The sequence below is a fragment of the Homo sapiens genome, chromosome 1 (genome assembly GCF_000001405.40).
Source record: "Homo sapiens chromosome 1, GRCh38.p14 Primary Assembly".
Lineage (NCBI taxonomy): Eukaryota > Metazoa > Chordata > Mammalia > Primates > Hominidae > Homo > Homo sapiens.
In genome coordinates, this window is record NC_000001.11 from 87,500,132 (window position 1) to 87,516,577 (window position 16,446).

The 16,446-nt window shown below is 40.4% G+C and overlaps 1 long non-coding RNA gene across 1 annotated transcript in view; it reads left to right on the top strand.

Moving 5' to 3' along the window:
• Positions 1 to 229: 229 nt before the first annotated feature.
• The window catches only part of LOC107985408 (uncharacterized), a 28,253-nt gene continuing 12,036 nt past the window's right edge, over positions 230 to 16,446 (top strand). The window contains exons 1-2 of the long non-coding RNA XR_001737795.1: positions 230 to 329; positions 5,133 to 5,276. This is a non-coding gene — a long non-coding RNA (uncharacterized LOC107985408). The remainder of the gene's footprint in view (positions 330 to 5,132; positions 5,277 to 16,446) is intronic.

Sequence of the window (16,446 nt, forward strand, 5' to 3'; positions counted from 1 at the left end):
GTTAAATGGTAGCAGCCTGATATATGGCAGGTCCTGTTGCCATAACGAAATAAGATGATATATATAAGTTGCCAGGTACAGGGCCTGGCCCATGTTTGGCACTCAATAAAATTTAATTCCCTTTGATACAATGAATACATCACAAGCATTTCTTGTTTTCATTTTTACTCAGAGTAAAGTTTTCTCAAGGGCAAGGACTAATTTTTTTTTTCAAACTTTTCAGTTTGTGTGAATTAATGTTCCATCCTCTGTATTTTGGGAGGTATTCTGCATATCTCTCAGGAAATCCAGATGGAACTGAGTGCCTGCTGCCCACATCAGCAACCCAGGTAAGGCACTTTTTTGTTGGGTCTTCTTTGTTTCTCTTCTTACTCTCCCTATTCTCTCCAATCCTGGGATCACCTTCCAAATAGACTACAGGTATCCAAACCCTTGTCTCAAGCTCTACTATTGGAGGAACCCAAACTAAGTAAGGAAAAGATTCAAATGACAGAGAAAGACAATAGTGTGCAAAATAGCAGAAGAACTTTCAGAGCTGTCCAAGGCAGCTAAGACAGGAAAATGTCAATGGAATAGGACAAGAATAGAATTCATTCATTCACTTATAAAAAAAAGGTACTTACTGAGCACCTAGTATGTACTGAACATTCTTAGGCCTTACGGATATGGTAGTGATCAAAACTGGCAAGGCATTTATATTGTAGTGAGGGAACATGCAATGAACAAGCAAATCAACATGCAAAATCATATCAGGGAGTGAGAAGAGCTTTGACAGCAAATGGCATAGTAAGAGACTGTGTGCAGGAAAGGTAGCTATTTAAGACAGTGTAATCTATTTAGAGTGAATAAAGGCCTATCTGGGAGGGTGATACTGGAACAGAAACCTGGTCAACATGAGAATGACCCACCTTTTGTCCACTGCCTACCTTCTCCTGAAGTGCAAGCAGAAAAAATCATGTGTGCTAGCCTGGGTATGGATAATAAGACAGGATCAAAATGCTGCTAGTTAGAAAAATGGGATGCACATATTTCTCAGTGTCCATTTTTCCAGGCTGAGTGCTGGGCTACTCCAAAATGGACCTTAGGACCAGACATATGCCTACAGCTCTTGGTAAGGCCTTTCTGTAGGAATACCTGGGGGGATTTCATCATTTTATCCTTCATTAAAAAAAAAACTTTTCTCCTGTCTTTCTTGTTCACGGCATCTTTTTCTTCAGTTTCTCAGATGAAAAGAATGCCTTTATTTATATAAGACTTTATTTATATAAGACTTTATCCCATTTGATTCCCACACAACTTTGTCCATTAAGTATTTTTATTCTTTTTTATAGATGAGGAAACTGGGACTTGGGGGCTTTGCTTGAGAGAGCTGGGACACAAACTGAGTCTCTTGGCTTCAAGTCCATGATTCATTTCAATGCTGAGTCCACTGGCCCCTTAACCAATCTTCATCCTTTCCCTGCCACCCCCATTGATGGCAACAGGATTTTATAAGCTGATGATCTTCACCTACAGGATCCCATTCCTCTGATATTTCATCAGTGGGCACAGGATCAGATCTCAGTAAAACTAGAAGATTAGAACTGGAAAGTCTGAGGATAATTCTATCATGAGATCTTATGTATTTAATGTTCTAACTTAGTCCAAGTGCTGTACTTGATAGTATTTTCTCAGTGCCACGTTAAGATAACAAGGATTTTCTTAAATGTAATATTGAACTTTAAGTATGTACTAAAGTGGCTGATTCTTAATGCTCCTCCTTTTGAGAAAACTTAAGGTAAAATTGAACATAATTGCTCCTGATCCATTTCACTCCACCTAGTGGGCCTTTTGTTCGTTTGCTTTTCTTCCAGGACATCCCACTTGATTCTGAGTCTGTAAGACTCCTTCCCTCAGTGATGGATCCTCACTTCTGGGGGAAATCATAGACAATTTCTTCTGTAGGGCTAACTCTACTATACAGTTTATGATGTCAGGGTGAATACTTCCTTTGGGTTGCTGTCAGAAACTGTAGATTTTTAAAAATTTAAATTTCATTATTCTATGTCAGTATTCCAAAGTATATACAGAAAGCTATTGCACTGTTAAGGAGATGGCACTTAACATTTTGGAAATTCAAGGTGATGAAGGTCCATATAAGACTATCTCTCCTGGTATAAATGTTGACAATGCAGAACATTTTTAAAGGTTCTTTTTGATATACAAAGTGCACCAATGAGTACTTTTTAATTCTTACAATAATTCTGGGCGAGGTAGGTATTTTTCCAATTCCCATTTTATGCTTCAGTAGCCCTTTGTACTTCTCCTTCAAAACACTTTGCTCACTTGTAATTATTTAATAAATTAGTTGTAATTATTTGTTTAATGTGCAGGAGTTACAAAAGGCGAGCTTTAGAACAAGACAGACCTGGTTATGATTCCTGGCTCTGAAAGCTGTATACCCTGTAACCCTAGACAGGTGTTTTCATGCCTCGCTGCCTCTGTTTCTTCCTCTGTAAAATGTGAACGATAACAGTATTGGCCTCATGCTTTTTTCTGAGTTTTAAAAGTAATAATGTGGACAAAGATCAGTGCAGTGCCTGGCATGCTGAACCCATTCCATGACTGTTAGATGTAGTTGTTATGATTTGTATTAATCCATTTTTACACTGCTATAAGGAACTACCTGAGACTGGGTAATTTATAAAGAAAAGGGATTTAATTGACTCACAGTTCCGCATGGCTGGGGAGGCCTCAGGAAACTTACAATCATGGCAGAAGGGGAAGCAAGGCACTTCTTACATGGCGGCAGGAGAGAAAGAGAGAGAGTGAATGGGGAAGTGCCACACACTTCCAAACAACCATATCTTGTGATTAATTAAAAAGTACTCATTGGTGTGCCTTGTATATAAAAAAATATGCACTCACTATCACGAGAACAGCAAGGAGGGAGTCCGCCCCCAACATTCAATCACCTCCCACTAGACCCCTCCCCTGACACATAGGGATTACAATTCAAGATGAGATTTGGGTGGGGACACAGAGTCAAACCATATCATGATTGTTCTATAATAAAGAGATGGCCACATGTGTTTCATCAGGGACAGTGCTAATTAACCAGTTGTCCTGCCATAATTATTAATAGTATTCCAATTGCTTTCAAAAGTATCCTAGTTTGCAAAAAGTATAGAAATGGAGGACAGATTAGTGGTTGCCCAAGATTGGAAAAGGGTAAGGGTAAAGGGTGCAGAGGTGGATGTGGTTTTAAAAGGCAACATGAGAGATCCTTGTAGTGAAGGAACTGTTTAATATCTCCACTGTGGTGGTGGATACCTGAACCTAAACATGAGAAAAATTGCATAAAACCAAACACACACACAAATGAGTACAAGTTAAGTTTGGAAAATCCAAATAAGATTTGTACATTGTATCAATAGGTATATCTTGATTATGATATTGTACTATTGTTTTGCAAGATGGTACTATTCAAGGAAACTGGGTAGAGGATACATGAGATTTCTCTGTATTATTTCTTATAACTCCATGTGAATCTGCAAGGATCTCAGGATTAAGAAAGATAGCCTAGTTTGGAAGATAAACATTATATCCCAGTAGTAATGTCCATTGTCCCACCAGGACCTAACTACCTTCTATAAAAAGAAGTGCTGTTGTTCCCCTCAAGTTCCTTTATTTGGTTTTATTCTTCTTCGCAGTACCTACCTCCACTTGGCAGATTAGATTTATTTTTTCATCTTTCAACAGCTATTTGCTGAATACCTACTAGATGCCAGGCTTGAGATCTAGCAATGAACAAGAGCTCTGTGAAACTTACATTCCAGTAGGAGAAATAAATAATAAACCAAAAATATAATCGATAAATTATTTAATATGCTGGGAAGCAATATGTATAATGGAACAAAGATGTAGAGTGATGGATTAGGGTTCTCCAGAGAAGCAGAACCAACAATTGACTCATGTGATTATGGAGGCTAAGAAGTCTCAAGATCACAGTTAGCAAGTTGGAGATGTAGGAGAGCCCCTGGTATGCTTCTGATTTGAGTCCAAAGGCCTGAGAACCAGGAGAGATGATAGTGTGGTTACAGTTCAAAAGCTGGCAGTCTTGAGGCCCAAGAAGAGCCAGTGTTGCAGTTCAATTCCAAAGGCAGGGAAAGGCCGATATCTCAGCTGAAGCAATCAGGCAGAAGGAGCTCTCTGTTACTCATGGGCAGGTCAGACTTTTGGTTCTATTCAGGCCTTTAAGTGATTGATTGAGGATCATCTACTGGGGAAAGAAATAAGCTTTATTCAGTGTACTGATTCAAATGTTAATCTCATCCAAAACCATGCTCACACACACCCAGCATAATGTTTGACCAAGTATCTGGGCACCTTGTGGTTCAGTCAAATTAACACATATTAACTATCTTAGCAAGATGAAAAGCAATGAATGCAGCATGGTGGTTGAAATTTTAAATAGGGTGGTCATATAGTGTCATTGAAAAAGGAATATTTGAGTGAAGACTTGAAGGGGTGGGAGAATAGGCCATTTATTTGCTTATTGACTGTCTCACTCCATCAGAACGAAAGCTTCATGAAGCCAGAGACTTAATTTTTACCTGTTATATCCCTAGTGCCTGGTGCAGGGTAGGTGCTCAAAAATATTTGTTGGGTGAATGGGTAATGATTGAGGATGGGGATTGGTTTGTGTCTGGTTATATCTCTTGTCCTTGGCACAGTACCTGGCACATCCTAAGCCATCAAAAAGTGTTGGTTATATGATTGTCTTTGAATTCTGATTGTTTATAATATACAATAAACTTCACTGAGGACACCGACTCACTTGCTTTGTTTGATATTGTGGCCCCAGCACCGCAGCACTTAGAACAGTGCCTAGAAAATACATAATAGTTAGTCAATAATTGTTATTGACCAAACGGGCACAGATAAGGAGACTGAGGCTCGGAAATGTTAAATGAGTTGAAAATGGTCTCACAGCCAGGAATAAACAAAGCATGGGGCTTAACTTTGTCTTTTTAATTCTCAAATTACAATATTTCATCTATATCAAACTGCTTTAAAAATTGTCCTGGGGTCTCTTGTTTGGCCATGGCCTTTCTTTCACCTACACCACCTCTCTTCTTTGTCCACTCCAGGCTGTGTTGTGTGGCCATGTCTCCCTGAGTGACAAGCAGGCTGGTTATGTGGAGTTGTCAGCACACAGGCCTCCCAGAGGACGGCCTTCTCCTCCAGGTGCCACAGTGTCAGGGGACACTCTCTCACATTAGGACAAGCAGAAGGTAATGCAACCTTTTGGCGACCATCGACTTTGTCAGACAATAGTGCCGTTCAGTTTGAAAGACTCCACCGGGAAGTTGCAGACTTTTAAAACTAATTTGGTGTTTATTCAACTTTGCAATCACTTCTATGTACTATCTGTGTTTCACACACCGTGAAACGGCGCTACACTGTGCAATTGAATTAGTTGTACAGTGACTCAAAGGCATTAAACAATGACTTTGATATTTTAAGTACTGACTAGGAGGGATTTTTAATTCCTTCCTCATAATGAAAGCAGCAAAAAAACCCAGTTACACAACCCTGGAACACTTATTCTCTTTTCTATTCTGGGTGGACCCCACTGAGACAGAAAGAAACCTCCAAGCATTTAGTTTGCTTAATGGCAGAAGAAAAATTAAACAAGCATAGACGTGCAACCTTAATGACACCGAGCAACACTAGAATAACAGTTCCCAGCTTCTAAAACCTGTTATTTAATATAATGGGTAAATCTTGTGGGAGCTTTTCAGGTGCTGCTGAGTCTGAAAAAACAGCTACTTTGTGAGGAGGGGTGGGGGAAGAGGCAGGGAGAGTGTCTTGCTTGTGCTCACTTGCCTAGGAGGGTCTCAGTGCAGAAGCCAAGCCAGAGGGGTGCAGGCGAAATACAGCACTGGCAGGAGAGTCCCTGAAGGCTGTGACCCTTCTGCGGACAACAGCATCACTATGCTAGGCACAAATGTGTCAGTTCTGCCAGAAACAATAAGGGACTTTTCATACAGTGCCCTTCTGGAGATGGTACTGACAGAAAGGAAGAAGGTGGGGGGGCGGTGGGGGGGAACAACGCTACAAAAAACGAAAACCATAGCAAGTGAATTAGTACCATGAAACTATGAGCATTAACTGGTAATAGTTCAGGGCAAAGCACCTAAGTGATGATTCACATCTGACAATAAAAACATGAATAGCTGTTGAAAGCTTGTTTGATTTTCACAAAGAGGTTTAAACAAACATTTGTTTGTTCATTAGTCTTAAGCAAGACTTTTACGGCAGGGGATGCATTAAACCTAACGTATGTCTGCGACCAAGATACTTGGTTGTTTTAAAGATGAAGACACAAAGCCGTGCATATAGTTTATGCAGAGCGGCCTTGAACTACCTGTAATGGAGTGAGATACAGTTATTATGTATTAATGCTGTGAATCTTCATCCAGAGAGAGAAAACAAACAGGGAAAGAATGCAGCATCTTTGAAGATAAAGACTTAGAGGGCCCCATTCTGCAATTGGTATTGAGTTTGCATAAACTCATTTTGTTGTTGTTGTTGTTGCATAATTTTTAAAAACGCAACTGGTTTAAATCTGTTCCCTGAGGTAATTTATGCTAAAGCAGCATTCTAACACCATAGATTCCCTGCTTATGGCAATCTCTGCTTGGGTGTCAGGTCGGTGTAGGTTACTGAGCAAATGGCCGCTTCAAAATTTTTAGGGTAATTGCCTCTATAACTCGTTTAGCATAGGCCCTGTCAGGAAATCTCTAATTGTAATTGACGCCTCTGCTTCCTTTTCTCCTCCTTCTTTTTAACCACATTGTTGTATCAAAAGCTTCACTCTCCAGTGCAGAAGAGCACGGGGCTTTTCATCTTCTGTAGCACTTGGATTTTGTCCTTATTAAAGCCTTCCCTCATGAAAACGTGATGTCACCCCTGACGGGGTCCAGAAGGTGGTGGTTGGTTGGGTGTACCTCTGCCCCAGCCCAATCTCTATCCTTGCATAGGAAACCTTCAGTCCAGAGAAGGCAGATCTTGATGGGGTTGGGATAAAATGAAGAGCAAATTACCACTACTCCAATTCTCCTAAGTTTTGTATGAATGCTGGGTTGGCTGCTGATTTCTACCAGAATGGTGTGAGCAAGGTCAACAGCATACTTCTCTCTCTTCTCTCAGCTCATGTGTATGGGCATGATGCCTTGGTAGGAAGGGTATCATTGGGATTGTGTATTACAATATTCATGGCCAGGAGCTTCTGTTGATTTGTGTCTACATATGGGGATTTTTCATCAAATTGCATAAAGTATGTTAAATAATCAACTCCAAAATCCAATTCATTAATTATCTTGCTTAAAATATACTTCAAATATATCACATTTGACATCTTATGTCATTGATAGTAGAAGGAAATGATAACACTTAAAATCAATAAGTGTTTTTAATTTATTTTACTTATTATGGTTGTCATAATATTTTGACATGGAGGGCTGACATGTCAACCACACTGTTATCAGGAGGTAAGGCAATGGCATTAAACTGTCTCACCATCCGTGCTACTGTTTCAGCATAAAGTGGGCCCAGGGGGAAAATATAGCTAAAATCTCCAAGGAAGTATCTGCTTATGAAGTCAATACAGGTCATCACTGAATAAAGCAGCCTGAGCTCAAAACAAAAGCTGAGGGAAAGAAGTCTACACTCTAATCTGTTATCTTTTCTCCCAAAGGATTTAACAATAATAAGAGCACTAAAAATGTGTGAGTGCTGTGTGCCAGACTTGTGCAAAGTGTTCCACATATTTTATCTCGTCTCCTTTAAGAGGTGAGGTACTTTTACATAGCAAAACCCAGGTTTGAATGAGAGTCTGTGTGATTCCATGCCTGGCTCTGTTCTCGGATACCAAAGCCATCACTATTCTGTATGGTTTGGAACGAAAATGGATTCTGACTTCTGGATCCCACTTTCCGCCCAGAATCGTGCCTTAGTCCTAAGTCCTGGTCACCTCCTACTGCTGGATGGTATTGGAGTAGGACTTGCATGTGGACAGTGGGTTGTTACAACATGCTTTTGTACGCCTGGAGAGGGTAGGCTTGAAGGCAACTAATGCTCTTCTCTTTGTCTCTAAGCATTAGAGATTAAAGGCAGATTCAAAAGAAATTGTAAGAAAGGAGGACTTGAGAGCATGTGTTTTTCTGCTATTTAGGACACAGGCAAAGCCAAATTTTTTTTTAAAGGCTAAATGTAGGTTTGACCCTGCTTGAAGTAAGCACCAAAGCAATGAGTAATAGATGAGACTTGGAATCTGATAGCAGCAGCATTCTCTATGCCCAGCTAATTAAAGGCCAGTAAAGAGCTCCTGGTGGGCAGGGCTGATGTCTTCTATACTGTAGTCCCTGTTTTGTACAGAACGGGTGCCCAACCAGGATTTGTTGAATGTAGTTTTTCATCCATAGCCAAGAATCAGCAGCTTGTTCTTATCTTAACTCCTCTTTTCTTGGCTATTGGTTTGCTTATAAAATGTTTTTGCTTTTCCTGAAGACTTAAGAATTAGCCTTGAGGACAAAAAGGTAGTCATTTTTTAACATAATATTTATGTAATGTTATTTTTATGGACAAGGCTCTGTGTTAGGCACTAGGGATAAAGCAGCAGTGGGGCCGGGTACAGTGGCTCACGCCTGTAATCCCAGCACTTTGGAAGGCCGAGGCGGGCAGATCACTTGAGGTCAGGAGTTCAAGACCAGCCTGGCCAACATGGTGAAACCCCCGTCTCTACTAAAAATACAAAAATTGCTGGACGTGGTGGTGGGCACCTGTAATCCCAGCTACTCAGAGGCTGAGGCTTAAGAATTGCTCAAACCTAGGAGGTGGAGGGTGCAGTGAACCAAGATCATGTTACTGCACTCCAGCCTGGGCGACAAGAGCGTGAAACTCCATCTCAAAAAAAAAAAAAAAAAAAAAGCAGCAATGAACAAGATGGTCAAGCATGGAAGGTAGACATCAGTCAACTTATCAGACAATTATCTGATTACCATGGTGATAAATCTTATGAAAAAGTATAGATTGTTATGGGTGTTTAGGAGAACTTGACCTAAATTAAGAGATCTGTGAAGGCCTTCTTGGAGAAATGACGTTTGAGCTGAACTATTTATTAAGGATGAACAAGAATTAATCAGGGCAAGTGGAGTAGGGAAATGGCAGGAGGGAGGGTGGTAAACAAACAATGCAAGGAGAGAGAGCGCATTGGTGAGAATGCTTCATCAGAAGGAGCTTAGTAGGGTTCTAAAATACAAATCAGATTAGTGTGGCTGAAATGCAGGGTGGAGAACCATGCAGCAAGATGAGACTTAAAAAAACAGTTAAGACTTTTTGGTTGCAAACATAAAGGAATTTATTGGCTCAATAAACAGAATGCTTCAGAGGTAGCTTGGCTCTACTCATAACTTTAACAAGAGCTCTTTATTGCTCTCTAGTTTTCTTGGCCCTATCTCCCCCACATATTGACTTGTGTCTCCTAAGGTAGCGAAGTAACTGCAGCAGCTCCAGCTTTCATACCTGCCTTCCATACCATCCAGAAGAGAAAGAAACTTGTTATGGTATTCCTAGTACGAGGCCTGAGAATCACCCTGATTGGAGCAGTGGAGGTCACATGCCCTGTCTTGAACCATGCACCGTGTTGAGGAGGCAGGAATGGCCTGCTTAGCCTGGCCTGGGCCAGATGGTCTATCTCAGGAGCTTCGGGAAGAGTCAGCTTCCCTGGAATCACAGAGATTACAAAACAGAAATCAGGGCTGCTAGGAAGTGCAGAATGGATGATGGTGGGGCCACAGTGATCACTGCAAGGTTGAAAAGGTGAAGACAGGCCTGTGCTATAGGATTTGGGACTTCTTAAAATGACAGGAAGTCATTAAAGGATTTTCAGTAGGTCAGTAATGTCTTTGGTTATTCAAAAACATCATTGTGAACTCTACCTTGATGTGTCTGTAGTTTCTTTTTTTTTTTTTTTTTTTGAAACGGAGTTTCACTCTGTCACCCAGGCTGGAGCGCAGTGGCAAGATCTTGGCTCACTGCAACCTCTGCCTCCCTGGTTCAAGTGATTCTCCTGCCTCGGCCTCCCGAGTAGCTGGCCCGCCACCACGCCTGGCTAATTTTTGTATTTTTTAGCAGAGACGGAGTTTCACCATGTTGGCCAGGCTAGTCTCGAACTCCTGACCTCAGGTGATCCACCTGCTTTGGCTTCCCAAAGTGCTGAGATTACAGGCGTGAGCCACCACGCCCGACTGATGTGTCTGTAGTTTCTAAGAAAACCATTGTCAGATAAATAAATCATTATGTTAAGAGCAAAATGCAACTCATTTTCTAGTTTTCCTAATAATAATAATAATTCTTATTAGTCTTCTAATGTTAATAACAGGCTAATAATAGTAATAAGCCCGCCACAGTGAAAAGAGATTTACAAGCATTATCTCATACAATCTTGACTATAATCCTGGGAAGTAAGCCTGATTATTATCCCCATGTTAGTGACAGGGAAGCTGAGGTATGGGGAGATCAGGTGATTTACCCAGGGTTACATAGCTAGTAAATAGCCAGACAATAGCTGTGTGAATCAACATATTGTGTTATTCCCACTAAACTCTGTGATGTCATGGGGGTGGGGAAAACTTTTTATTTACAGTTGCTCCTTGATAAATTGATTCCAGGATGCCCACGGATACCAAAATCCTCAGGATGCTCAAGTCCTTTGTATAAAATGACTTAAGATTTATGTAATACCAGCCGGGCACAGTGGCTCACTCCTGTAATCCCAGCACTTTGGGAGGCCGAGGCGGGGGGATCACGAGGTCAGGAGATCGAGACCATCCTGGCTAACACAGTGAAACCCCGTCTTCACTAAAAATAAAAAAAATTAGCCCGGCATGATGGCTAGCGCCTGTAGTCTCAGGTACTAGGGAGGCTGAGGCAGGAGAATGGCGTGAACCCGGGAGGCGGAGCTTGCAGTGAGCGGAGATCGCGCCACTGCACTCCAGCCTGGGCTACAGAGCGAGACTCCGTCTCAAAAAAAAAAAAAAATTTGTGTACTACCTATGTACCTCCTCCTGGATACTTTAAATCATCTCTACATTACTTGTAATACCTAATACAGTGGAAATGCTATGTAAATAGTTGCTATATTGTATTTTTTATTTGTATTATTTTTATTGTTGTAATGCTAGTTTTTATTATTTCCCAAATATTTTTTATCTGAGGTTGGGTGAATCCCCTATGTGGAACTCATAGGGATAGGGAGGGTCGACTGTGTTTGACAAACAATTATTGGACAAAGCCTTGTGCTAGGAATCAAAAGTATCAACTGGGCAGTCAGATTGCATAGAATCTGCCAGAATTTAAAAAAAAATTTAGTAAAATATACATACCGTAACATTTGCCATTTTAACAATTTTTAAGTGAGTGATTAAGTGGCATTAATTACATTTACAATGTTGTGCAATCATCACCATCATCTATTTCCAAAACTTTTGCATCACCCCAAACAAAAACTCTGTAACCATTAAGCAAAACCTCCTCCCCCTAACCCTTGGTAAACTCTAATCTACTTTTTGTCTTTATGAATTTGCCTATTCTAGATATTTTAAGTGGAATCATACAATATTTGTTCTTTTCTGTCTGGTTTATTTCACTTAGCATAATGTTTTCAAGGTTTATTCACGTTGTTGCTTGTATCAGAACTTCATTCCTCTTCATGGTTCAGTAATCTGCTAGAAATTTGAAAAAACTATTTTTGTCAGTTCAGTGATTACAAAATATTTGAAGTTGAATAACTATAATTTTAAGCAAGGATTGCACTCTAGTTTTCTACTATCCCTATGATACCCTATTGTCTTAAAATTAGTAGCCTGCTTGCACTTATTAACACTGTCTAGCCCAATTCAGAAGGCATCTGTGGTTGCAACAATCATCCCTGTGATTTGGACTGACAAGCTCTTCGAGATTAATTACACTGAGTCCTCTCCTAAAGAAGGTAGAAACTTGTCTTTGTACTTCTTTTTGCCATCACCTATTAGCACTGTGCTTTCTATAATAGATGCTTACTAAATATTTGTGAATACAAATTTAAATTCAGTTTATCAAATCTGTATCAAGTATTTATAACGTTCTAGGCACTGTGCTAATGGTTAGGGTTACAATAAGGAGGTAGTTCCTGTCCTCTTGGACACTATGCTACAGGTGGACAATAATGATGATGAGAGCCAGCCATCTTAAAAATAGCAGTGTCTTCAATTTTTATAGGTTTTTGTTTCTAAACATATATTAGCCCATTTATTGCTATGATGTTTGGCATACATTTACTTTTGAAAACTAGTGGCTATTTTTTAGTTTATTCCAAATGGAACAAGTTGGAAGAGATTATTGGTTAACCACAAGATTTTGAGGTTTGATTTCACGGGGTAGTAAATGATGAATTAATTCTTTAAGAAAAAGGTTTCTTTAAGTCTAAAAATAGTTCTTATAAGGTCATTGTTTCTCAACTAAGTTGGAAGATGTGCCAATTTATGCTATGCTCTAAGAATCTTTAACTTTCCTGCCATTTCATGAACTTAACTCTTTTGATAGCTCCAGGATTTAAGTCTTAAAGGCAGCTTAAAACAAAGCCCCGAGCACATTGCCCTTGTCTTTTCATGTGTACAACTGTCTGTCCCTAGGTCAGTGAACGATAGTTGTGAAGGTTCTTAGAGAGTGAACAGAGTTTCAGAGCTTTCTTGAGTAGGTGTCCTGAGTTCACCAGACTTGCTGTCATCTGGAACTGTTCTACTTATTTGGTTGTCAACAGCATCCTAGTGGAAAAGAGGATAATGCAACCATAGCTGCCACACAGCCCTCAGGAACTTTCCATCTTGCTATGTAGCTGAAAGTGTTGGTCTCTGTCTTCATTTGTCATGAGCCTCCCAACTCTGGAGATCAGTGGAAAGGCCATAAATGGAAAGAGCCAGCATTTAGTCAGTAAGGTGGCAGAGATGAGATGGTGTCTTTCAGAATTTTCTATTAAGCAGTTAGTCCTGTGTCATTACCAAGTAAGGATTAAAGAGGCCTATGAAAAGCCACAGACTAGCATCGTTTAAAGGATCCAAATGCAAACCATAGTTACAAATGTGCTTTTTGTCAAACATTAGGAAAGAAAATGTACGACACTACTAAGAAAATGGTGCAGAAGGCAGAGAAGACTCTTGGATTGGGAGGAAATTCCAGTTCAGTCTGGTTTATAGAAACTTCAACCACAAGCTCTTTTCAAAAGGATATCAGGATTCAAGCATTACATCATCTAAATAAATTCTCATTGGATGTTCAGTCCCTGACTGGCTGGAATCGGGTTCCCTTTATTTAACCCTTTCCCAGCCAAGACATAGCCTGTCCTAACTTTGAGAATGTATCTTTCCTGTTATTTGCAGCAGCATTTAGCATTTGAGCAGAACGCATGTGAAGAAAGTTGCTTTCTATAAACCCCCCACCTCAGTTTAAGTTTTTATACTTAGTATGTCAAAAAAGTTATTTCAAATGCTTTGTTGCTATGTAATTGCAAAAGCAGCATTACTGAGAGAAATGCTTCAATAAAGCCTTTGGAAAATAGAGAACGTCAAGCCATTATATGATTACGTTTCCTACACCCCAGTCCTCTTTCTCTTATAGTTACACTCCTACCCTCTGGTTCAACATTTTTGTCAGATTATGTGTTTTACCTGGTCATTATGGATGGATATTAAAATTACAGGCTTATAACTAAGCAACCATTTGCAAAAAATGAAGTAACATACCATGGCCACCAAAGAGACATGTAAGTGTTTTGGCTAAAGGGTGACAATTTTATTTGGGTATTTCACACTTTATTGAGGAAAGAGTGTTGATATAGTTAATGATTTCAAAAGTATACCACTCCGGAATCGTCCTGCAGTCTTCCTGTCTTTTCACTGGATGCATAAATGGAATCAGAGAGACACAGACAGTAATTGTGGGTCAGACTGATAAAATGACTCATAATAGCTTTGGAGTTGTGAAACTTAGGGCTGTTATCTTGAGTTCATATCACTTTCCCTCCCTTTTAAGAGTGTTATCGGAAATATCCATTTCTCAGTTAATAAATTAAAAATCCTCTCTATTTCAATCATTTTTGGTTTTTATAACATCCCTGGAGATAAATGGAGACAACCCCAGGTATTGCAAAACCAGAACAAGAATCACAGGTTTAGAGGCATGAAGAATTGTACAGGATGGAAGAACACAGGGAGGAGAACATGGGCATTCTGAGCTCACACCTGTTTGCGGGAGGGCTGGATGCTTAGATATAACTGTGCCAGCCAGGACAGAAGGGAGGAAGGAGCTGCATCTTGGATTTGTCAAACATGTGCTTACTCTCCCTCCTGGCTTCATTACTACACAAAAGATGATAAGACTTGACACCACCAGTCAGGATTTTGTCTTCAAAGATATCAAGAGGAGAGTGGGAGAGTGAAACCCCCAGGGCTGACCTTCAGAGGAGATGAGAAACTCAAAGAGTGAGTATGAAAGGGTAGAAAAATTAGAGTGGTTGGGGAGTATTAGCAGTTTCTTTACCTTTTCTGATACAGGGCCTCACACGTCAACTGATGCAGAATTGGCAGGGGGCTCAGGATGATACCGTGTTTAATACTGTAAAATTAAGTGTGTTTGAAAGAGCAAAGTTTATATATTCTTTACCTGGCTCAACAAAATTCCCTTGTCACCTCTGAAAACCATTTTCTAGAATGCAGGCTCCCTCTAGCCCAAAGCTTAAAATTATCAGTCATATTGAAAAGAAGAATGAAAACAAGTCCTCACACTGCTGTGTATTTGATTCTGGTTTAGAAATCCATTATCTTTAAAATATACCCATGTTGTCAGTCAGGTTCCTCAGGAAGAAGTTTCTGGGAGAGCACTGGGTAGTGAGTGCCCTCGCTTTGCAGGGAAGGAAGGGAACAGGACTCAGGAGAGCGAGAAGTCAAATAGTGATGCAGTTACAAAAAGCCTAGGCATCTTGTGGCCCTGCTCCTTTGGGGACCTCTGGAGCTGGGATAGCTCTGCAGAGTTGCCCTGTATTGGGGCTAGGGGATCACATTGACTCATCATGAGATGTGGGTGGCCCTAGGGGATGGGGTATCATCCTAGGTAAGGTGGCTATCTAAGGCAACTCCTAGAGAGCGACTCAGCTGAGCACTATGTATGGTCAACCCTTTTGGTGGCCGAGGGAATGAGTCTTAGTCTCAGTAGGGTGGATATGGGCAGCACACCACAGCATCCACTACAATGAAGATAAAGGGTCTCAGCAAAATTCTGGGATTATTCAAAATTATCTAAGATTATTAAAAACTCTAAGATTTTTCAGTCTTTTCAAAAATTGCCAAAGTAAGCCCAGGGTGCCAAATTGCCAGTGTAATCTCTGAGCCATTGAAGTTTTCTTTATCTTTGAAGATAAAGCAAATTGATATGTAGCACTCCATTGCATCTTTAAAGAAAACCTCAGTGGCCCAGAGAGATGGCATATTTCTTAGAAAATATAAGGAAAGGCTTTTGTTTGGAACCTTTCTACACATCAAATGAATAGCTTTTCCATAAAATAGATAGTAGTAAGAATACAGGGGCTCTTCTGGGTTTTGATCTGCAGGATGGTGTGGGACAGGGGTAGGGGTGTAGTGGCTCCATCACAATTTGCTTGGAAGAATGAAAGTGGTTGGCTTAGGCTTCACTACTCCAGCTTGAGTCCACATTCTTAGGGGATGAGCTAAAGGCTGCATTCTGGATCTTTCTGTGTAAGAAGTGGAGAAATCCGCTGCCAAGTATGGGAGCACTGGAGCCTTAAAATGGAATCCAAATACTGGTTGTGGATTTGGAACAGTGCCTTATATGGCATCATTGTTCAGAGCCACTTCAAGGAGTTAGGGTATCATTGTGGCATTGCCTACAATGCCACAATCAAGGGCTGTCTGAGATTCAGGAGATGAAGCAAGGAGATATCTGTGCCTAATGTTGAAGAAAAGCATTTTTATGTCTGTTAACATTTATGGTGTCCGATTGAGTGGGTTAGCAAAATAAAGACAGATGGCAACAGATTAATGTGAACACTTACAATACCTACAATATTGCGCCCACTCCAGCTGAAGCTCTCCAGCTCAACTTCCTCCACGACTCACAGTCAAATGTCACTTAGTGACCCCGAAGAGAAGAACAATTTATGATGGATCAGGAATCAGGATTAACCATACATTTATCATGGAATAAGGAATCAGAAACTTCATTTAATGTATAACTGTGATGTTTGTCTGGGGCTGGTGGATCATTACTTTGCAATCACTCCTTGTGTTAGGAAGCAGGAATTGATTAGCCCAGGGTCATTAAGTCCATCCCCTGCCTCCAGGCTGTACA